Here is a 24,009-nt window from a genome sequence, read left to right on the forward strand (position 1 = left end):
CCCATTTCTGTTTTACCTTAAATCAGACAATGTTGTTTCTCTGCTATTCAGATTAGAAAGGTATTCATGATTGCCCTTATTATTTCTTTACATGAGGAGATAGAGGCTAGAACCAGAGCATTTGGATGATGGGAGTTACTAAGACAATTGAGTAAGCTTGTGCTTGATGTTTGTTCCATATAAGATGTCAACCTCATATTAACACAATATTAAGTGAAATCTTAAGCATTTTAAAGGCCTACGAGATTAACTTCGAAGCTGACATTTCCATTCAGCATGTTTTCACAATGTACTTTCATAATTTCATTGCATGTTATTAAAACTTTTAAAGGTCAAATAGTATGACACTTGTCAGAATTGATGACTTTTTGCTTTCCAAAAATCATGCCAATTGAGTATATTGCCAGTAGGGTTAAAGAAGGACTTTGTCCACCCAATCTCTCTGTGGCCACCTAAAAGCTCATTGTGATTTCTTTGCGCTGATATTCTATTCATAGAACTTTGAATGTGAATGTCTGATTCCTGGAGATCTGGTGTTCCTGGGTGAGCTTAGTTGGGCAAATTTCTGCCTGCAGCACCTTCAGGGAGGTTTCTAGCAGTGCTTTTGTCATCAGTGAGTCGGCACGCCATTCAGCTCCATAAACCATGCATGCTCTAGGAAGGCAGCACATTCACTGTCTCCATCACACTTTTGCTTTAAAATCTTTTGCTGTTTTTTCTCAGGTGCACGAAATTTGATACATTCAGTCCTCCTCCTCATATCATGCTCTTTTGGACTATGGAAGAATTAGGATTCTTGCTTTCATTCCCAGATGCCCTCACGTGAAATAGATTTTGAAGGCCTTGCTAAGCCCTGAATACAGATGCCCTGATACCAGTTTGTCCTTGTGCTGCTGGAAGCAAGACTAGTCCCATCTCGACTACCCCTCCTCACCCCTGGGTCTTTTGAAGGTTGGGCTGGAAACTACAGATGAGTTTTGAACTATGATCCCTAGGGCTCTGGGACTCTAGTGAATGTCTCACGGGTTTCTGCAGAGAACAGGGTGGTGCCCCACAGGCACTGCCTCAGGCCTCATACTCCAGCTTTCATCTGGGCTTCCTTGGTTCTCTCTGTTTTAATTATTTTACTAGAAAGGAAGTATACTTCTGCTAGAACTTGTTTGGGAAATCACTGATACAGTGAGGAACAAGTGCAGGGATTTTGTAGTCAGGCAGACCACAGTTCAAATCTGTGCTCTACTGTTCGCATGACATTTGGTAAATTACTACTTCGAGCATCCATTTCCTTATCTGTTAAACTGGAATAGGATAACTACCTCTCAGATTTGTGGCAAAGATGAAATGGATTTGCATATTGATTGTACTGCTGGGTACTTTCTAAGTGCTTTAGAAATGTTGGTCTTCTCTTTCTTCTCTTACTGGTTATGCTAGTAATCTAAACTCAAAAAAATTCAATTGAGGTAGAGTGATCATGTGTCCTAGTTTGCCTAGAATAGTTTTGGCTTCTCCCTGTTCTCCCAGCATAATTTTTCAGTGTCTTGCATGTTTAGCAGTGTCCCAGTTTGGATGACAGAGTAAGAGATTACCCCCAATTCTGCTGGCAGTTTATAAATTAACTTGATCTTCTTAGGTACAAGCTTGCTGCTGCCATTTTCAGGCAGTACAGCAATTGCATTTGACATTAAGCCCTGAAACTCATGCCCCCCTTGTCCCCCGCCAGGAACTGTTGAAAATCTGAAGTCAAAAAGGAGAATCTATTCATGACAGTAGCAAATGATGAATGATCACATACCAAGTGCTTGTGTGGATTCAACACAGAACCAGATGCTTTATGAATGAAATTACACTCTCTGAGGAAGATATTAGTGTCCCCATTCTGCGGATAAGGAACTGAGGCTCAAAACAGTTACATAGACAACAAATAGGCAGAGGAGTTTGAATTTAATCCCAATAATCTGCCTTTTTGTATACAGCAAATAGAATACTTCAAAAGTTACCTTATATATTTTTATTATATTTACAGCTCTACAAGTCTCTCTCTCTCTGTATTTGCCAGATGTTCATTTATTTATTTATTTATTGTTGTATTTGTTTATTTTTTTGAGACAGGGTCTCACTCTGTCGCCCAGGCTGGAGTGCAGTGGCACGATCTTGACTCACTGCAACTTCCACCTCCAGGGTTCAAGAGATTCTCATGCCTCAGCCTCCTGAGTAGCTGGGACTACAGGTGCACATCACCACACCTGGCTGGTTTTTGTTTTGGTGGAGACAGGGTTTCACCATGTTAGGCTGGTCCCAAACTCCTGACTTCAAATGATTGACCTGCCTCAGCCTCCCAAAGTACTGGGATTGCAGGCATGAGCCACTGTGCCCCAGATGTTCAGTTTTTTAAAATGCAGGGTTGGCATTTTCAAAATTTGTATAAGTATTTCCTTAGTCTTGTAAGGCTTTTTCTGTAAGTCTTATATAAGTATTTTTCAGGGGAAATCATTAATGTAGCATTTATATCTTTAGACTTTCATATCATGAGGTAGGAATCAGTGTCTTAGAGTCAACCTGGAGTCCCACTGGGTAGAGTGTGAGACACTTGGAAGATGCGATAGGCAGGATCAACCCCTCACTTCTAGGAATACCTTCTTCACTGGCCTCCACTTGGAGAGATAGGTCAGGGCCTAGATGGTGGCCATTTAAGACAGAATAAACATTATATAATCTAAGGGAAATCACACATTGATAAGCTCATATGTTACCATGGGCTAGGATATTGGATTGATTGACCTGGTCTTACCTTTTACCAGTTACAGGGGCAGGCCTTGAAGGATGGCATGGAGCACTGGGAGGTGCATTGGTGGCAATCATGAACCGGGCTTGCTGTTTTGGACCTTGGAGCTCTGCAGGCAAGGACTCTGGTGACTGTGCCAGGTGACTGGGCACCAGAATTATGTTGTTGCCATGTCTTCTCTAGGTGCAGGGTTCCATAGGAGGTTTCATTTTGGAAACAGTGTGTAACTACTTAGAGGGGGTTAAAAAAAAATAAAAGCAAACACCACCACCAACAAAAGTGCACAGAGGTTTGAAAATTCCTAGGGTAAAAGAACACTAAGAAAAGAAAGATATGCATTCAAGGAAAACTTCAAAACTTGTCCTACTTGGAAGAAGTGGTCCAACCATAGGTATGAAGGAAATGTGTACTTCATTCTCCATTACTGTAAGACATCTCTAGTAACCCTCGGAGAACTGGAGCCTCTTCCCAGCTTTGCCTTCATGCTCTCTTTCAGGGAGGGACACAGGGCTTTCATTGTTATTATCAACACCCCCCACCCCCAACACACACACACACAAACACACACACACACACACACACACACACACACACCACACACACACACGTGCTGTAACAACTCTGGAGCAATCTTCCTCATTTTCATACCCTCCTTCTTACTCTTCATTGACCTACTGTGTACTGTGTGGGCTGAGCTTTCAAATCTCATCTCAGCATTCGAGAAGCAGCCTGGTTAAATCTACTTCCTAGACAATTTATACTTTCATATTACTCCATTTTCATACAGCATAGCAAGGCCGTCCTGAGTGAGCACTGCTTTGCTGCTTGTAGTCAGAACTTGCTCAATGGTCTTGTTTTAAAATGGGAAGGATGGTAAAGGGCATGTTAAGGAGTGAGAATGACTCGGTCCACTCAAAATAGGGTTTGTATGAGTAAATCCAGGACATCTTTATGAATTTGTGCAGATTTATGTGCAAAATGACTCGAATTTTAAATAAGCATATGCTTATTTGTATGTATGCTTTTTCTGTCATTGAATTATTTGGCTATTTGATCTTAGTAAAGCCACAGCCTCTGTGTTCTGTGGGATAACCATTTTCTCTGTAGTTTTTAAGGTTAGGATTCATTCACAAATTATTGTACATTTCTTGCATATTAGACTCACTAGACTTATTGTTGTGTTTTGGTATTTTCTGGAAGGACTGAATTTTATAGATGAGGAAAATGAGCCACATGAAACCCGAGTTTTTCCGAGCTTTTCAATGTAGTTTCCAATTTTTGCCTCAAAGACAAGTTAGGGTCCTACTCTTGTTCAGAAATTCACATGAATTCATATAGGATGTTTATTGTTTTAGAATATGGTCACCAAATAACCAGACTGAACTTTTTTACTACACCGTCTCCAAAGATCTTTATCTGGACGCTGTTAAACACCCGATTACCTCTCTTCACCTGACCCAGTTTTACTGTGTGGCCTGGGCTGTTGCATACATAGGCTGGTGGCAACTCCTGTGCCATACTCTGAGCTGCCACACCCAGTGTGGACCTGGACAGAAGAAAAGCTGAGTCTTTCATTCCTAATGGAGCAGAGAACAAAGTGAGTGGTTTGTGGGCTCAGAAGTTCTTTAAGCTGGGAATAGTAGGAAAAGTATAAAAATGGCCTTCAACTATCCTCCCAAAGCAAATGAAGTTCTCAGATATAAAAAGCGATTACATCACTCTTTTTAATGAAAAAACTAGGTGAGAGTAAAGGTATCAATATTTCCCAGATCAATCTGCAGATTTAAAGCAACTCCAGGCAAATTCTTAACAGGATTTTTGAAGATTTAGATAAGCGAACACTAACATTACATGGAAAGAAAGGCAAAGAATCAGAAAAGTTCAAACACTTTTGAAAACAGAATAAAGTTAGAGGAACCACACACACTATGCAATTTTAAGCAATTATCAACACATTGTGGTATTGAAAACAAACAGATATGTAGATTAATAGAACAGAATAGAGAATTTAAAACTAGGTTCCCCATATAAATATGACCAACTGGTTTTTGACAAAGATACAAAGGAAATTTAATGGAGAATAGTATTTCAATAAATAGTGTTAAAATAATTGGACATCCATAGGCCAAAAGAAATTAGCCTTGACTTATTCCTCATTCCTTATACAAAGATTAACTCAAAATGAATAATAGTTCTAAATAGAAAATGAAAAACTATAAGACTATTAGAAGAAAACATGAGTAGAAATCTTCAAGACCTGGGGTTGGGCAAATAATTCTCAGATATGACACCCACAACACGATCCATAAAATGAAAAATTGATAAGTTGAACTCCATCAAAATTTGAAACTTGCTTCAGGAAAGATAAACTACAAACCAGGAGAAAACATTTGCAAATCACTCATCTAACAAATGAATTGTATCCGGAGTATACGCTGAACTCTCAAGACTCATCAGTAAGAAAACAAATTACCTATTATAAAAATAAGCAAAATACTTGAACAGACACTTCACTAAAGAGATTATATGGAAGCAAATGAACATATGAAAAAATGTTCAACCTGATTAGCCCATGGTAAATGCAAATTAAAACCACAATAAGATACAATTATATACTTTTTCATGGCTAAAATAAAAAATAATAGCAATACCAAGTTTTGATGAAAACATAGAGCAACTGGAATTCTCACACATTTTTGGTGGGAATGCAAAGTGGTATAGCCACTCTGAACATGTTTGGCAGTTTCTTACAAAGTTAAATATACACTTACCATACGACCCACAAATCTCACTCCTGGGTATATACCCTAGAGAACATAAACATTTGTATACAGATGTTTACAGTAGCTCTATCTATAATCACCAAAAACTGGAACTAACCCAAACAGCCTAATTAATGGGTGAGTATGATGGAATCCTGCTTGTCCAGGAATAGACGGTTGGTAACAACTTCGAAGACTCTCAAAATCTTTAAGTTGAGTGAAAGAAATCAGCCTCGAAAGGTTCCGTACAGTAGAATTCCATTTACATGACACTCTCAAAAAGACAAGCTACAGTGAGGGAGAACATATCAGTGGTTGCCAGAGGTTAGAGATGGGAGAAAGTTGTGACTACGAAGGGATAGCACAGGGAGGATTTTTGGAGTGATGGAATTGTTATGTATCCATTCGTGGTATTAGATACGAAGAATGCACGTGTTAAAATTCGTAGAACCACACAAACACAAAATGTCAATTTTTTAGCATGTTAATTAAAAACACAAAATAAAAATCATTTAGTAGAATTCTGTTTCCTACCCCATCCAATCTAAGCCCTCCTCTCTTCCTGTGTATGAGACCCTCCATAATCTGCCTCCCCACTTTGTGATGTTCCTAGGTTTAGTCTCTCACTGTTCTGTGAGCAAGTGATGCCCTGACACCATCCATCTGCTATCCTTTTATGAACAAACATTATTGCTCCCCTGTAAAATGCTAGACACAGTGTTAACCTTGGCCTTGGGGGTGCAAGCTTTCTTAAGCTATAGTCTCACTTCTCCTTTTCTTTTTTTTTTTTTTTTGAGACGGAGTCTTGCTGTCTCACCCAGGCTGGAGTGCTGCGGTGTGATCTCCGCTCACTGCAAGCTCCGCCTCCTGGGTTCACGCCATTCTCCTGCCTCAGCCTCCCAAGTAGCTGGGACTACAGTCTCCCACCACCACGCCTGGATAAGTTTTTTGTGTTTTTAGTAGAGACGGGGTTTCACCGTGTTAGCCAGGATGGTCTGGATCTCCCGACCTCCAGATCTGCCTGCCTTGGTCTCTCAAAGTGCTGGGATTACAGGCGGGAGCCAAAGCGCCCGGCCCTCCTTTTCTTTTTATTCTAATCAAGTCCCACCTCCTTCGCCATGCCTGCCCTGCTCATTCCCACAACCGCTGCATATGATCTTCTCCCAACATTGTACATTTCTTGCATATTAGAAAAGAATGACAGAGCATTCATATACTCTGTCATCCACACCACCAAACTAATGCTATACTATTGTACTGTTTGTGTTGCATTTTTCCAACCAGATTTTGGGTTCCTTGAAAACAGAAACTTGGTTTTTTTGTTTTGTTTTTTTCAGTCAGACCTCAAATGATCAAAATAGCTCTTAACAGAGTAAGTGCCCAATAAACACCTCACTATTTAAAACCTGCATGGGCATTGTAATGAATGATGTTCATCCTAGGAAAGTATGAACTTAGTCCTGAATTTGAAGTAGCTCCATTTCCCATATTTCTCATTCCTCTTCCCTTGCTGCTCTTAAAAAGACTATAAACTCATCTTTCTTGATACTTCTCAGCAAGAGCTATGTGGCTTTATTCACACTTCACTTCACTTCACATTCTATCATGTCCCCCTGACCTTTCGTCCTTCAGGAACCAAAACATTTCTTGTTTATTATTCTCTGACTTGCAGAATACTTAGATTCTTAATTTAATTGTACCACCTTTCCAGGACTTTCTCAGTACCAGATGGCTTATACCTCACCTATGCCTCTTCCCTCATGATATTTTTTTTTGCATTTTAAAATCTGCATTTGTCATTTTTACTTCTCACATGTTTACAGTCGGATGGTAAGAACAGTCTCAGGGTATAGAGCATCATTGTCTGTTCACGCCCTTCTTCAGGTCATGTGTGGGTATCCAGCTCTCCTGGATTCCTCCATGCACTGCTGTCCTTCTGATCCTGCCTCTGGTCTTACTCTCTGTGCTCTTCCTCATCACCCTGCTGGGAACTGAAGCTGCTGGAAGCCCACTGCAACCCCAGTGTCCTGAAGGAGAGGAAATGCCCCTTTTTAGAACAGCTTGGAAAGCACCAGGAATTTGGACTTGGGGTTCTCGGTTTTATTTTTAACCTTCATCCTGAACAGCAACCCAGAGGCTCCTCGCCATTTTCATGTATAAAATGGCCTGGATTTAAGCAGCATCTTGTCAGCCACACATGGCCATTTTTGTTTTATGGAAGTGAGGCAGGAGAATAGGGTATGGAGGCAGGGAGCCTAAGGACGATTCATGCTGACTTCCTAGAACTAAATCAAAAGGACAAACCCAACTATCCACACCTAAGTAACAAAACGACCAGAGGCTACCCCCTTTGCAACCCCCACCTTTTTTCTGCGTGGCAGATGGAAAATTGAAAGTACCTCTGATTGGTTGCAGAAAGCAATTTGCATAGGAGTGTAACTCTGTAACTTCACTTCAGCCTCTGATTGGTTGCTTTCTGCAGGAAAACTTGCTTCCTGCAACCATTCAGACTAATTGCAGTCCACTACTTCATTTGCATGGAGTGTATACGAAGTAGCCAATGAGAAACCTCTAGAGGGTATTTAAAATCCAGAAAATTCTGTAACTGGGCTCTTGAGCCCCTATGCTCAGCTCAGTCCCACTCTGTGGGGTGTATTGTCGTTTTCAATAAATCTCTGCTTTTGTTGCTTCATTCTTTCCTTGCTTTGTTTGTGTGTCTTATCTAAGTCTTTGTTCAAGACACCAATAACCTGGATAACCTCCACCGGTAGCAAAAGGGGTTTGACCAAAGGGAAGCACCAGACAGAGGAAAGCAGAGACCAAAAGAATATAGAATCCAGGCCTCCTGCCACCAGGCAAGCACAAAATGTCTGTCTCCTGAGCAGAAACTTATTTATCTGCGTATTCATCACAGTCAGCTGCTTCAGCAACGCCGGCAGCAAAACCAGCAAAAACGTCTCCACATTTCATGCTATCAGAATATGCTCACTTCCTAACATCCACCTCAGAGTAAAAATAATAAAAATACAAAAATACTAGAATACAGCCACGTTTGCATCTCTGGGAGCTGAAAGCCACATCTGATGGCCACATCAACACTGAAAGAGAACATCCCTAATTCACTGCAAGAACAGAACGCTAGTAAGTGAGCCAAGTGGCAAACAAGGAACGCCCCTTTATTAGCATGGGCATATTACAGTGGGAGAGAAAGGAAGGACAGGTACACACCAAATGTTAATGAGTAGCATGGTGGAATGGTTTTTTTCTTTAGTTTGCTTGTGTGTACTGAATACATTTTCTACCACTATTGCATATTATTATTTTCAATAAGAAAAATGTATTATGTTTGACTCGATTGCAGTGCAGGTCTCCATTATATATCCTCTTAGAATTACATATTACTTTTAGAATAAAACAATAATAATTCAAACAGTTCTGAATACATGATATGAAGCAGCACCTGGAGCCAAGACTCTTGTAAGATAAGTTGAGCCATCACTGATTTGGGTTGGGAGGAGCAAGCAGCTGCCTGACCTCTTGGAGTGACATCATCAGAACTGAGTGAGGAAATTAAAAAGCGTCTCAAATAAGGAATGGAATTGGGCCTGCATTCATTTATTCATTTTTTATTCATTCAATAAACATTTTTAAGTGTGTGCTATTAGGAAGGATATAAAGTCAAATAATATATAACACTATTATTAAAGAATTTAAAATCTGGAAGGGAGATTAGATAGGTCTCACAATTCCTGCTTAAGTTGATTGAATGAATACGTGTGGAAATTCACACCCCTTTCTCTTCAAGCAGAGAAGATAATAAGTAAATTTTTTGGCTGGGTGCAGTGAGTCATGCCTGTAATCCCAGCACTTTGGGAGGCCAAGGCAGGAGGATTACTTGAGCCCAGGCATTCAAGATCAGCCTGGACAACATAGGGAGAACTCATCTCTACAAAAAATAACAAAATTAACCAAGCATAGTGGCACACACCTGTATTCCCAGCTACTTGGGAAGCTGAGGCAGGAAGATTGCTTGAGCCTAGGATTTCGAAGTTACAGTGAGCTATGATCGTGCCACTGCACTCCAGTCTGGGCAACAGACTGAGATCCTGTCTCTCTTTTTTTTTTTTTAAAGTAAATTTTTTAAAAATTAAAAATACATAAAAACTCTCAAAAAGAAGAGAACATCTGTATGGTCTAGAAACAGAACCATGAGGGATGGCAGAGGCTCAGCTTTCTGGACTTGAGAATAGAAACCATCTGCGGGTACCAGGAGTTAGTGGGCTCGGTGGAACAGGCCCCGAGGCTTCCAGTGCTGGCCTCAGGGTTGGACTGGCTGTTTGACACAAAGGGCCAGGACAAGGTGCTTTTTTAAGGAACAGGCCCTAGAAAAACTGCAGCTCTAGCCTGGGGCTGTGCCCAATAACCAGCGACTGCCTAGGGTGGCAGGAGAGAGAAGCTGGGGTTCCTCCGTCAGAGCCTGCACCCAGTAGCACACACTGGCCGAGAGGCTGGATCAGCAATTTTCCCAGGTACATGAACCCCAAACTGCCCACACGAAACTTGGTTCTGAATGGTGACCCAGGCTGGATGAGGGCCGCTGCCAGCAAGAGAAGAGGGGCAAAAAACACTAACAAAAGGAAATTTGTGCTCAAAATGATATTGCAATTACAATTGTAAAACACGGAAAAGAAACTTATGTCATACATGCTAGCCAAACTACTCAACACATCAGGGAATTCATTTCTCGAAAGTAGAAATAATACAGCAATCTGAAAAACAAGCTATGTTGTTCATACCCCAATTAGCACAAACCCTGAGATGCTGAAGAAAAAAAAAACTCCAAAGTAATAAAAAAAAAAAAAGGAGGGGATTATGAAACGAAAGCAGGTGGATATGAAAAAGAACCAGGAGAGTAACTGAAAAACAGACTGCCACCCGCAGCCACAAGGGGACCTGTTTCCCTGGACCCTGCTGCAGCACACGTGTTTTTGCGTGGAGTTTATGCCAAGCATCAAGCAGCAACATTTAAATCTCTTGTTCTCTCTTTACTGGCTGAAGGTTATAAATGTTTTATGAGCCGCTGAGCTTGCAGCATTACTATTTTATTAGAAGGTGGAATATCTTTTCCTCACAGCTGTATTCCTAGCGAAATTATTCTTTCTCTTAAAAATGTTAACCTGATGCTCGTTAGGAAGTGGCAACTGGCAGGATGGAAGGAACTGTTCAGAAATGGTCTGGCCCATTGGAAAGCGAGTCTGGATGGCACTTGGATGTCTTTCTTTTGGTTTCTTTTGGATTGAGCTACAAATAATTTAGGGAAGAACAGGAATTTTTTGATAGTCTAGCAACTTGATTTGATACAGTCCTTTTGGAGTCCATCTGGGATTGCTGAGTTGTATATGTTGGTGAAAAGTAAAAACCGCAATTACTTTTGCACCAACCTAATATTATTTTCAAACTCTGGCAACAATCCAAAGAATCAGTTACAAATTTCCAGGGACACACATCAGGCTGAAGCAGGCAAGGCAGGGAATGAAGTTACTAAGGTGATCCTGGATGAGCCACTTAACATCAGTTTCCTCATCTGTCCTGTTTCCCACATTTCTTACTTCACTTTTCTCCAAAACTGAGAACCAAGTAAGCTAAGGAAATTTTAAAAAGCAGGGGAGCGGGGAGAAATTACCCTATCTTGAGAGCTGAAACAAGACTAGCCTTCTGGTCCTCCATGGTGAAAGAATACTGTAACAATGAGAAATCATTTCTTCTCCACTAGCACAGCCAGTTTGTCCCCAGCTTCCCCAAGGGAGCCACGGGGAGCTGTGTTCTTTCACTCTCCCATGTCTATTCGCTCTGCCTCCTCTTGACTATGCTATTCATCTCCCCTTCTCTACCTTAAGAGCTTCTTCTCATCTTCAAACCCAAGTTCAACTGTCATCTCCAATTTGCAGTCTTTCAAGACTAAGCCCTTTCTCCCTCACACATAAATCAAATGAGAATTATTCCCTTATTACTGCTGTCTTTTAAGTCTTAATTCCTCTATCCATGTATCCATTCATCTGACAACCTTCAACCAGCTATCTGCCATGGCATTGGAGATAAAAAGATGAACAAAATACAATCTGCATCCTTAGGGTCACATACTTTTATTTCCACATTATATTTGAGTTTCCTCCTTACTGAAACCATTTTTATATCTCAGTACTTATCATTGTCTAGCACACAGTAGTTATTCAAAAGATATTTCCTAAACTGAATTGAAAGGAAGAAGCTAAGGAGTAAGATCCGCATCATAAAGATGATACCCCATGGGCAATATATTAGAAGGCATCCAAAGATTTGAGTCCTAAACGACAAATAGAGTGAGACCCAGACTCTCCCTCTCTTTTATTTTAAAGCCCTTCATGTGCTAGGGATTCTTTTAGTCTTCAAATCAAATAACATTTCTTTAGCTTATTAACTCAGGAAATATTTATTGAGATTTTGCCCTATGCCAAGTTATGTATTAGAAATCGAGGAAAAGATAACTATATATATATATTTTTTATATATACACATACACAAACACACACACACACATACACATACACACACACATATACACACAGATATGTGTCTATACAGACACATAGAAATATATCTGCATACAAGTTATAGATTTTTCATGCAATAATAATAATACTTGATATTACTATGTAAATACATATACATATGTGCACACATTAGTATACTATACTTGTCATTACTACATATACATATATATTCTTATACATGTATGTAGACATGTATATCCTTATATATGTATACATAGTAATGTTACAGTATATGTAAGAAAATATGTGACTATGTAGTAATGTCAAATATGGTATACTAATGTGTGTATATATGTATCTTTATATATGTATATATAGTTTTATTTGTGTATGTATATATAGTAATGTTAGAGTATATACAAGGATATATATGCATATGTAGTAATGTCAAGTATAGTATACTAATGTATGTATGGATATATATGTATTTATATAGTAATATAGAGTATTATTATTATTATTGCATGAAAAATCCATAGTTTGTCCTGCCCCTAGGCTCTAGAGTTTTGGCAGGAGTCTATTCTGTTACAAGTGAAGAGCTCAATCATCTTCCTCTTCCACTAGACCAAACACTACGAGGGACTGTGCCTTCTTTCATATTGTCACCCCAGCATAATGTTGGGAATAGTAGCTATTCAGTAAGAATCTGAATAAATGCGTTTTACTGCCATTATTTTGAGTTCCTAACTCTAGAAAGATACTTGCTTATGTCTAAAATAAAAAGGACCCAGTTATTTTTCCATGAAATGGCACATGTTAAAGTGGAATTCATTTTGGATTAGGCAGACCTAAAGCTTTAGATTTGTTTTTACATTTTTGAAAATTTCAGGATTTTCTCTAATTAAAAAAATTTTACACTAGGTATGGTCCTAGGATTAAGAGTAAAGAAGGTCAGCCAGGCGCGGTGGCTCATGCCTGTAATCCCAGCACTTTGGGAGGCCGAGGCGCGCGGATCATGAGGTCAGGAGATCGAGACCATCCTGGCTAATACGGTGAAACCCCGTCTCTACTAAAAATACAAAAAAAATTAACCGGGCGTGGTGGCGGGCACCTGTAGTCCCAGCTACTTGGGAGGCTGAGGCAGGAGAATGGTGTGAACCCGGGAGGCGGAGCTTGCAGTGAGCCAAGACTGCGCCACTGTACTCCAGCCTGGGCAATAGAGTGAGACTCCGCCTCAAAAAAAAAAAAAAGTAAAGAAGATCTTTAGAAAGTTTCTCTTGTATAAGGAAAATGTAAATAGGCTCATTGTAGAGAGAACCATAGCTTTGGGCTTGTCCATGTCATGGAGTTTAAATGTCTCTATAAATAAATTACACTGTCACTATATATATATAGTAATGTGTACGTGTGTGTGTACACATTATATACACACACATATACATATATGGTCTGTGGCCTGTCAGTATGTGTGTGTATATATATGTATGTGTATGTGTATATATATATGTATGTGTATGTGTATATATATATATATACACACACACATATATACACACACACACACATATATATATATGGTCTGTGGCCTGTCAGTATGTGTGTATATATATATGTATGTGTATGTGTATATATATATATGTATGTGTATGTGTGTATATATATATATACACACACATATATACACACACACAGGCTTTATATGATAAGGCTTTATATACAAAGCTTCATTATTATTATACATATATACAGGTATCATTATACACGTATGTATGATTGTGTGTGTGTGTGTATATATATATATGTATAAAGCCTCATTATCAAGAGATATAGCAAGAACACTGGATATAATAAGACTGAGCTCACTAAAGCAAAAGGAGTCAACTGCTTAACTAGGCAAATTTTGAAAATTTCCTTCCAAATCAGTAAAAAGAGGCCCAAGACTCCATAACCAGAAATTCTGATGTTGTATTGCTTGCAACAATTAGAATAAGACGAGATCTCAAATGTATGCTACAGAGCAAGGGTCCTCAACCCCCGGGACCATGGATCCATACTGGTCTGTGGCCTGTCAGGAACAGGCCTCACAGCAAGAGGTGAGCCGTGGGTGGGTGAGCATTACCGCCTGTGCTCCACGCCTCCAGTCAGATCAGTGGGGCCATTGGATTCTCATAGGAGCATGAACCCTATTGTGAACGGCGGATCTAGGTTGCCGGCTACTTATAAGAATCTAGTGCCTGGCGATCTGAGGTGGGAACAGTTTCACCCCAAAACCATCCCCTCCCCAAACCCACTTCCACGGAAAAATTGTCTTCCACGATACTACTCCCTGGTGCCAAAAAGGTTGGGAGCCACTGCTATAGAGGGTTCTCCAAAAGACAGAAAATATTTGTATCAAAAAAAATGACTTTGCCCATGCAGGAGTAGAAAGTACTTAAAATATTGCCTCATTTTAATTCTGAAATCATTTGTTTGAGGTAGCACTTCTAGGCCTCATCTTTTTTTGCCAGAACAATGTCCAAAACCATCAGCGAGATTGAGCTAATGGGCCAGGTGCGGTACCTTATGCCTAGCACTTTGGGAGGCTGAGGCGGGCAGATCACTTGGGGTCAGGAGTTTGAGACCAGCCTGGCCAACATGGTGAAACCCTGTCTCTACCAAAATTACAAAAGCAAATGTATCCAGGCACGGCAGTGCACACCTGTAGTCCCAGCTACTCGGGAGGCTAGGCAGGAGAATCACTTGAACCCGGGAGGCAGAGGCTGCAGTGAGCTGAGACCGCACCACTGCACACCAGCCTGGGCAACAGAGCAAGGCTACATCTCAAAAAAAAAAATTGAGCTAATGAGTGTGAAAGTACTTTGCAAATTCCAAATTACTTTGTATAAGTTAGTTAGTCCTATTTCTCTTGTGCTTTGAGATTCTGACATCGTATCCTGTGGTTCATAATAACTAGATAGCTCTAGTAATTCAAAGCTACATAAAACGTGGTTATTAAGTGAAATCATTAGAAATGTGTCCAGAAAAAAATTGCATTTTCTGAAGGACAGAAAATACACGTATATCTCTCTTGGAGAGTTTCAAGTAAGGGCTGCCTTAGGGTCCCCTATTAATGAGGCCATCTCTGACCCCTTAGGTGTGGATGTTCAGTTGTTACAATGTTTCTAACACTACTCTATTAAAAAGGCCAAAAACTAACTGCACAACAGATGGGCAAGTGCCCATTATGGGCCTGCCCTGTCAGTGCACTCTGCTGCAGCTGTGGTTGGACTTGCTCCCTTGGCAATTCCTGGGCTCACAGTGGTCAGTGAAATACTTAGGCAGGACGTGGAAGGTCCTAAGGTGCTGTGACAATGCTCCAGCCTCTACTCTTGTGTCTGGATGTGAGAGGATATGGCATAGACAGCTGAAAGCCTCAGAAGACAGGTGGAGTCCAGGAAATTCCATTTGCAGCTATCTTTATCAGGGTGAGCTGCAATTGTTTGCTGTGATAGTGAGCTGAAAGCAACAGTTCTATCAGATTATTTTTTAGAGATGACTAAAGTACACTATAGAAAGGAAGTGCTCAAGATCTGTTTGCTGATGTATTGCTTGCTTCATAAAGCTACCTATTAAGAAAGACACAAAATAACGAAATAATAGCCTAAACAATGTTAAAATAGGAAGATAGAAATAGGACTTTCTCTTTCTCATTTCTAAAGTGTGTATAGAGTTCTCTTATTCTCTCTATAGCATTCAGATACCCACTGGGAAGAAAACAAAAACAAAACCAGAAACCATCATAGATATTTCACAATGAGAAAGTTTGTTACAGGGAATTGGTTTCACCAATAATGGGAAAGCTGAGAAGCCAAATAAGGAGCAGCGAGAAACAACCCAGTGCTTAGCAATACAATAGCAGCAAGCTGCTACCACCTTAGGGCTGGAAGGAAGCTGGAGTTGCAGGGTCTGATGAGCCAGAGCTGTACAGCAGGAGTTACCATAGTCAGTACTTCTGGCAGCAACTGGAGCCAGAAGTTTAATTTCCTTATATGGTAAAGCAGAGGTTGTATTGTGCGATTACCTTGACTAAGAACTATCCTCTGACAGAGTTTCCAGGTTACCTCTCTCTCTTTCTGGATGTTCTTGATAGAGACAGAATCCAGTTATATTTTCTCCACTTTGCTAGATGATGTTATGGCCATCTATCTTTTACAAATAAATGCTAGTTAATTATTTAAGCTTTAGCAGTAAGCCTGTTCTCAGATCTAATTAAACATAAGTGAAAAATAAAAGACACACAGGCATGTACTCTACAGTTTAAAGCATGAAACTTTCCCTTTTTCTGTTAGGGAAAAAGTCAATTCTCCTTGAAGTGTATGGTGGTCTACTGCAAGTTCACTTTCAGCTCTGCTCCCACTCCTCCCCTAGTCTGCTCTGAATCAGAGGGGACTCTGAAAATAAAACATAAGTATTGTTTCCTCACCCAGATACAGTGCAGGTCTTAATACCATTTCTGAAATGTGCTAACTTTGGCCCTTGCCTAGATTACTCTTAAACTCTGTAATAGAAACCAACTGGGCTGGTTTCATGGAAGACAAATTTCCATGGATGGAGGGTGGCGGGGGATGGTTTCAGGATGAAACTGTTCCACCTCAGATCATCAGGCACTAGATTCTTATAAAGAGTTGGCAACCTAGATCCCTCACATGCAGTTCACTGTAGGGCTCATGCTCCTGTGAGAATCTGATGCCCCTGCTGATCTGACAGAGCAACACAGACCAACACAGCCTAGGCCAGGGATGCCTTAGGAAGTACTTGGTTTCTTCCTGTGTCTTTCTATCTTTTTCCACTAATTCACCGGCCAAGTGAGAAAGAGTCAAGGGAGACTGGGAATTTAGTCCTCCCTGATTCATATCTGCTCCATGGCAGAGCTCTTCCCGCTCCTTCTCCCAGCAGGACACCTGCTCTATTATGTCTTTGGCTTTCCTTTTCGTAGATCAAGTCCTGAGAATTGGATGAAACAAGCTGACCAAACACGTAACCATTCATTGGAAAGTATATTAGTCCATTTTCATACTGCTGATAAAGACATACCCGAGACAGGATAATTTATAAAGAGAAGAGGTAATGGATTCACAGTTCCGTATGGCTGGGGAGGCCTCACAATCATGGTGGAAGGTGAAAGGCATGTCTTACATTGCAGCAGCCAAGAAAGAATGAGAGCCAAGTGAAAGGAGTTTCCCCTTATCAAACCATCAGATCTTGTGAGACTTATTCACTACCATGAGAACAGTATGGGGGAACTGACCCCACAATTCAATTATCTCCCACTGGGTCCCTCCCACAACACATGGGAATTATGGGAGCCACAATTCAAGATGAGATTTGGGTGGGACACAGCCAAACCATATCAGAAAGTAAGTGGCAAGCTATAACATTTCCTCATTTTTGTTATTGCCAAAGACTTATGCCAGCCACAAAATTCTTTCTGACAGTACGACTGATCTAGAGCTCAAAATTGAGTCCAGATCAGCTGCCAAGAGATGTGGAAGAGATGAAAATGAAATAGAAGTATTGTTTCCTTACCTAGATAAGTGCAGGTCTTAAGCACATTCCTGAAATGAGCTATCTTTGGCCCTTGTCTAGATTACTCTTTTTTTGTTTGTTTGTTATTTGAGACGGAGTCTCGCTCTGTCGCCAGGCTAGAGTGGAATGGTGCAATCTCAACTCCTGCAACCTCTGCCTCCTGGGTTCAAGTGATTCCCCTGCCTCAGCCTCCCAAGAAGCTGGAATTACAGGCAAGTACCACCACACCTGGCTAATTTTTGTATTTTTAGTAAAGACTAGTTTTCACCATGTTGGTCAGGCAGGTGTCGAAATCCTGACCTCGTGATCTGCCTGCCTTGGTCTCCCAAAGTGCTGGGATTGCTGGCATGAGCCACCGCGCCCGGCCTAGATTACTCTTATCCTCTGTAATAGTCCATCATCAGATGCCCAGGGACTCCCTGGTACATTTGCTCTGGTCTCCCATCTCAGCAGCCCAAACCATGCTTAAAAACTACCTACCTTCTCTCCCTCCTTTTGAAAAAAAAAAAAAAAAAAACAATGACAACCAAGCCAAAAAGTATACATAATACCCTTTTCTTCATTGTGGTTTATAATAGTAATTAATGATTATTTATTTATTTTTATTTGTACAAATGTATAGAGTGCATGAGAAATTGTGTTATGTGTATATATTGTGTAGTGATGAAGTCAGGGCATTCAGAGAGTCCACCACTTGAGTACAATACTTTCTTGTTAAGTATAGTCACCCTGCTCTGACCAAACATTGAATTGATTCCATCTTACTGTATGTTTGTATCTTTTAACCTATCTCTCTTTATATTCCCCTCTCCCCGCTACTCATCTTTCCCAGTCTCTGTTATCCATTATTCCACTCTCTACTTCCAGGTGATCAAATTTTTAGCTCCCACATATAACTGAGAACACGTGATATTTTTCTTTCTGTGCCTGGTTTATTTCACTTAAGATAATGACCTCCAGTTCCATCCGTGTTGCTGCAAGTGATACAATTTTATTCTTTTTATGGCTGAATGGTATTCCATTGTGTATATACATATACCACATTTACTTTATCCATTTATCCATTGACGAACACTTAGGTTGATTCTATACCTTTACTATAGTGCATAGTGCTGCCATAAACATGCAAGTGCAGGCATCCCTTTGATTTTTTTTTTTTTTTTTGAGACAGTCTCACTTTGTCACCCAGGCTGGAATGCAGTGACTCGATCACTGCAACCTCTGCCTCCGGGGTTCAAGCAATTCTCATATCTCAGCCACCCACGTAGCCGGAATTACAGGTGCGTGCCACCACGCCTGACTAATTTTTTTGTATTTTTAGTACAGACGGGGTTTCACCATGTTGGCCAGGCTGGTCTCAAACTCCAGGCTTCAAATGTCCTGCTTACCTCGGCCTCTCAAAGTGCTGGGATTACAGGTGTGAGCCACTGCACCCGGCCAATATATTATTTTTTATTGAGTGCTTACTATGACCAATTTCTGTTCTAAATACTTTTGAATAAATTCATCCAATCCAGACAGTAATTCCAGGTGATAAATTCTACCATAATATCCATTTTACAGATGGGAAAACTGAGTTAGAGAGGTTAGATGGTTTGCCCAGGGTTACATAGCCACTAAATGATAGAGAAGATTTTAAGAGCCCAACTCTAGTTAATGATCTTAGATACTACACTAGATTCCACGCGGCTTAGGCAAGAGCTAACAGTTAAAGCAACCAGATTTAACCAATTCACACTTACGTGTGAGTGATTGATAGTCATTAACCTTCCCTGAGAAATTTGCGCTTGTAGTTTTTAAATTATTTCTTTTTTCTTTTGACAATTTTGTTTTTTAAATGTTTAACATTTTAAAATTATTCTTTTTGTAGAAATTTAGCACTTTAAAATGATGTCTGTGAACCAGAGGAATCTCAATCAAAGCATTTTTATGAAGCACCTACTATGTACTGGCCTTATGCTAGGTAATGGGCATCCAAAGATGAACCAATCACAAGCCTGATTGCTGCTTTGGTTATAGGCACAGGTCTTTGGTCATAATTGTGTTTGAATCCCAGTCCTGCCACTTATAAGCAACCTATTTTACATGGCCTTTTTCTTCCGCCTGCAAAATGGGATAAAACAATAACTTTTTTGGGTGGATTTGATTAAATAATGTCTGTAACGTATTTAGCCAGCAAGCCAGCACACAGTAAATACTCAATATATGGTAGCTATTATTTTGAACTTTCTTCCTGCAGACATGCAAACAAAAATTACAAAGTAAGATAATGACCTCCTCTATAAATGCTGTAGTGGGAGTGTCCAGTGAAAAGTGGTGGTATGCTAGGGTGCTCTTCAAACTGTGCCTTACAGAGTTTTGAGGCACAGGCAGTCACAGGCATGCCTCTAGGGCCCAGGGTGGGCTCGGGGTGTGGAGAGGGGAAATGACACCCCACCGTTCCTGCCACCTCTGCTTTCCTTTCAACAAAAATAGAGCCAGTTTTGTCCCGTGTGTTTGTTAATATTGGTCTTTCCTGTCATGTCTCATTCAAGAATGGATTCTGCCTAAAATCCCCCTTGAGACTGAGAATCCTAAACTCAACTTTCTAATCATTTCTCTGGAGGTCCTTGCGTAAGTAAGTCTCTTACCTTCCTTCACTTCACTTTCCTCTTATGAAATGAGGTAATATATTTCTTCTGACTGATTATTATTGTTCCTTCCAGGTATAAAATTCTGCAAGTTTTGGGGCATGTCGGGAAAAAAGATATGTGGATATGCTACCCCAAGTTAACGTTGTCCCCTAGAGACACCTCCCCGAGTCAAACACATTTGCTGGTGTGTTGATTTGTTTCTTTATTTGTGCCATCTTTCTCCACATCTGAACTTAGAGACTCTCAGAAGATTCCTGGCTTTCCACAATAGCTTTCGAGGCAGTGGGGCAGCCCAGTAGGGTTCTGGGATGTAGGTTCTGGCAGGCATTCTACACATTGGTCAACTCCAATGCAAGTAATTTTAGCTGGAAAGTAGCTTTCTCCAATCAGAATTACCTCACTAAGGTCCTCTGCAGACCAGCTGCTGAGTTCATTACAACCCCTGAGTTCAAGGTAAGGGGACACTAGAAGTTACCATTGACCCTTGACAACTTCCCTTGCAGTGGAAAATTCATGTATGACTTTTGACTTCCCCCAGAACTTAACTACTAATAGCCTACTATTGTCCAGATGTCCTACCTATAACAGTCAATTGACACATATTTTGTGTTTTATGACTTATATACTGTATTCTTACAATAAAGTAAGCTAGAGAAAAAAAATATTGTTAAGAAAATCATAAGGAAGAGAAAATATATTTACTATGTATTAAGTGCCATGTCGATCATCATAAAGGTCTTCATACTCATCATTTTCATGTTGAGTGGACTGAGGAGGAGGAGAAAGAGGAGGGGTTGTTCTGGTTGCCTCAAAGGTGGCAGAGGTGGAAGAAAATCTGAGTATAAGTGCACCCATGCAGTTTAAATCTGTGTTATTTGAAGGTCAACTGTATTTTTTAAAATTGTGGTAAAAACACATAACATAAAATTTATCATCCTAACCATTTTAAATGTACAATTTAGTAGTGTAAAGTATATTCACATTGTTATACAACAGGTCTCCAGAACCTTTCCATCTTGCAAAACTGAAACTACACTCATTGAACACCAACTGTCCATTTCCCCCTCCCCCAGCCTCTGGCAACCACCATTCTCCTTTCCTAATGTTCATCCATGTTGCAGCATATAACAGAATTTCCTTCTTTTTTAAGGCTGAATAATGTGCTATTGTGTGTATATACCATATTTTTTTTTATCCATTCATCTGTTGATGGACATTTGGGTTGTTTCCACATCTTGACTATTGTGAATAGTGCTGCAATGAACACGGGTGTGCAAATATCTCTTTGAGATCCAGCTTTGCATTCTTTTGAATATATACCTGGGATTGCTGGATCACATGGTAATTCTATTGCATCTATTTTCAGTGCTCTTCTGCCACAGGCTGCCAAGAAAACTTAGGAAAAACTCACAGGTCACATTTGAGAGCTTTCATGCTGCTTAGAGCTTCCTGGTTTGATTCCATCCGAGTCTATGAGGAAATGGCTGCTCTGGGAAGAAGCAGGAGTTAATTCAAGTCTGGAGAATGCCTGCTTTTTTGAAATCCCCAGCATGCTACATGTGATATGGGCTTATAAGAACCACATGCTTTCTCATGCTCCTTTGGCTCAACCTCAGAGGCATTCTAGAGTTGGCCCTTGCAGCTAGAAACCACAAGAATGTCAATGATGCAATTTAAAATATGCCAGTTCCCACTCCACTGGTCTGTAAACTAAATAAATTGCACAAAAACCCCTACAGTCTCACCTCCTTTATCAGAGGAAATTATTGAGAAGGTTTCAGTGATTTAGAAAATATTCAAGCATAGCTTCTTAAACATCAAGTAGCAGCATTATATGGAGTTGGTTTTGTTTAATAGTTTATTCACAACACTCAGTAATTGAACCACTAGGTACCATGGTGACAGAAATGAAGGTAGATGGATGGGAGTTATAGAAAGACAATGGGTCCCCTGTCTTTAATGTTAATTAGTTGGCCCCTGCCATATATTCCATCTGTTCACATACTGTGACCTCAACATACATGCTGCATGAAGAAAAAAAACTCAAAATATATATTAAACAATTATTAAGTTGGAAGTTTTAGAAATTGACCTAGGAGGTTGATATTTATAAAATATTTTTCCTGCCTTTTGAAAATTAAATGAAGATATAAAATTTACCATTAAAGAGAGGATATTTCAATTTCTTTGCTGTTAACTAACTATCATTTGCACTTTACAGGAGAATCAATTATGGACAATTACCAGTCAGTTGTTGGCCAATCAGATATTTTGATCCATGATTTGCTCCAGGCACCATTGTGGATTTAGATGTGAAGACAGTCCTGGGATTTCAATTTCTTCAGATGCTAGTGGTGTTTCTTGTAATTGTCAAAGCAGTGAACCAATCAAAGCACCTGAATTGAGTTAGGTTACTGTATAGGGTATGGGTTTTAAAATTGACCTTTTACCTCTATAAAGTCAAGGTCTTGCAATTAAGGAGACTTTTAAATATAGTTCCAGTTTGGGTAAGTATCTAAGCCCAAAGGAAGAGAGGAGTTAGAAGTTTGTAAGTATCAGCTTCAAAAATTTTTATACCGAAAAACTGGCCAAGAGGGGAAATGAGAAACACAAACATTTATCTCAAGAAAACAAGATAAACAACAGCAAAACACAAAAAATTTTGGAAAGGAAGACAGTTCACAATGAAAATTTTCTCTATTTCTATTTGCAAACCCTAAATAACTATTTTATGCTGATTGTGGAAGAGTTCAGTGAAAATTTGTGACTTCCTTTCATGGAGAAGACAGACTTGAGTGCCTATTGCCCCTCCAATGGGAAAGCAGTGTAAAGCTTGCTGCTTTCCTTGCACTGGAGGTTAGGCCTAATTGAACAAATGTATAACTGAATTGCATGTGTGTGGTGGCAGAGAGAGAAAGAGAGAGTGAGAGCCAGAGAGAGAGATGGAGAGAGAGAGAGAAATCCTTCAACGACTGGAGAGCTGAGAGAATGCCCGAGCCAGAGTCGCAGATCCCCTCAAAACAGAAGATATAAGAATAGTACCATTACTACCTGGGGCCATTGTTTTGAAAAAATAATGTCTGTATATCAGAGGAGCATATAAGTTAGTACACAGGCTCTGCAACAAGACTGCTTGAGTGTAGATCCTGACTCTACCACCGTGGGCTCTGAGACAAGCAACTCATCATCCAGGGCCTCAGTTTCATCTAAAATAGGCAGAATAACATTCCTGTACTCCTTCAGGTTGTTGGGAGGATTAAATGGATTTCTATCTGAAACCCTTCTAGAACAGCAGCAGGCACATGTATGCAGTTGGTGTGAGCTATGTGTGCTAGTGGCCAAGGGGGGACCTCTGCTGAGCAACCTACAGAGTAGATCTGAAACATACATAAAATTTGCCATGAGGTTTTAAGAGCACTAGCTCATGGGCTTCTTGTTTAAAACTTCAATAAGGCTGTTACCTCATTGTGCCACTCTAGCCTGAAGGAGTTGGGTCTTTTCTTGCCAGGGTCTTATAAAGACCAGAAGATAAAAGACAAAAATGGAATTTGACTGCAAATTTTCATTACTAAAAGACTCCCATTTTTGCTTATATTAAGAAACAAGGTTTTCAAAGGTTTCCTCTAACCACACTATCTTGGGTTAGTCAGAATGAACACGTATTTATGGGATCACGGTCTACAGGATTTGCCTGCAATGTTAAATAAAACCACAATTTGTGTTTCTAAAGTCATCAT

General features: G+C 40.1%; 3 annotated features.

The window, feature by feature from the left end:
- Positions 10,547–10,716: an enhancer, noted in NCBI's record as "experimental_90427 CRE fragment used in MPRA reporter constructs". NCBI's record gives its function as "activates a minimal promoter by MPRAs in K562 erythroleukemia cells, with activity observed for both the introgressed and non-introgressed 6:137947237 variant alleles {active_cell/tissue: K562}" and the evidence as "EXISTENCE:reporter gene assay evidence [ECO:0000049][PMID:34662402]".
- Positions 18,932–19,041: an enhancer, noted in NCBI's record as "active region_25142". NCBI's record gives its function as "activates an Ori minimal core promoter by ATAC-STARR-seq in GM12878 lymphoblastoid cells {active_cell/tissue: GM12878}" and the evidence as "EXISTENCE:reporter gene assay evidence [ECO:0000049][PMID:35858748]".
- Positions 21,856–21,915: a silencer, noted in NCBI's record as "silent region_17583". NCBI's record gives its function as "represses an Ori minimal core promoter by ATAC-STARR-seq in GM12878 lymphoblastoid cells {active_cell/tissue: GM12878}" and the evidence as "EXISTENCE:reporter gene assay evidence [ECO:0000049][PMID:35858748]".

The sequence above is a fragment of the Homo sapiens genome, chromosome 6 (genome assembly GCF_000001405.40).
Source record: "Homo sapiens chromosome 6, GRCh38.p14 Primary Assembly".
Classification (NCBI taxonomy): Eukaryota; Metazoa; Chordata; class Mammalia; order Primates; family Hominidae; genus Homo; species Homo sapiens.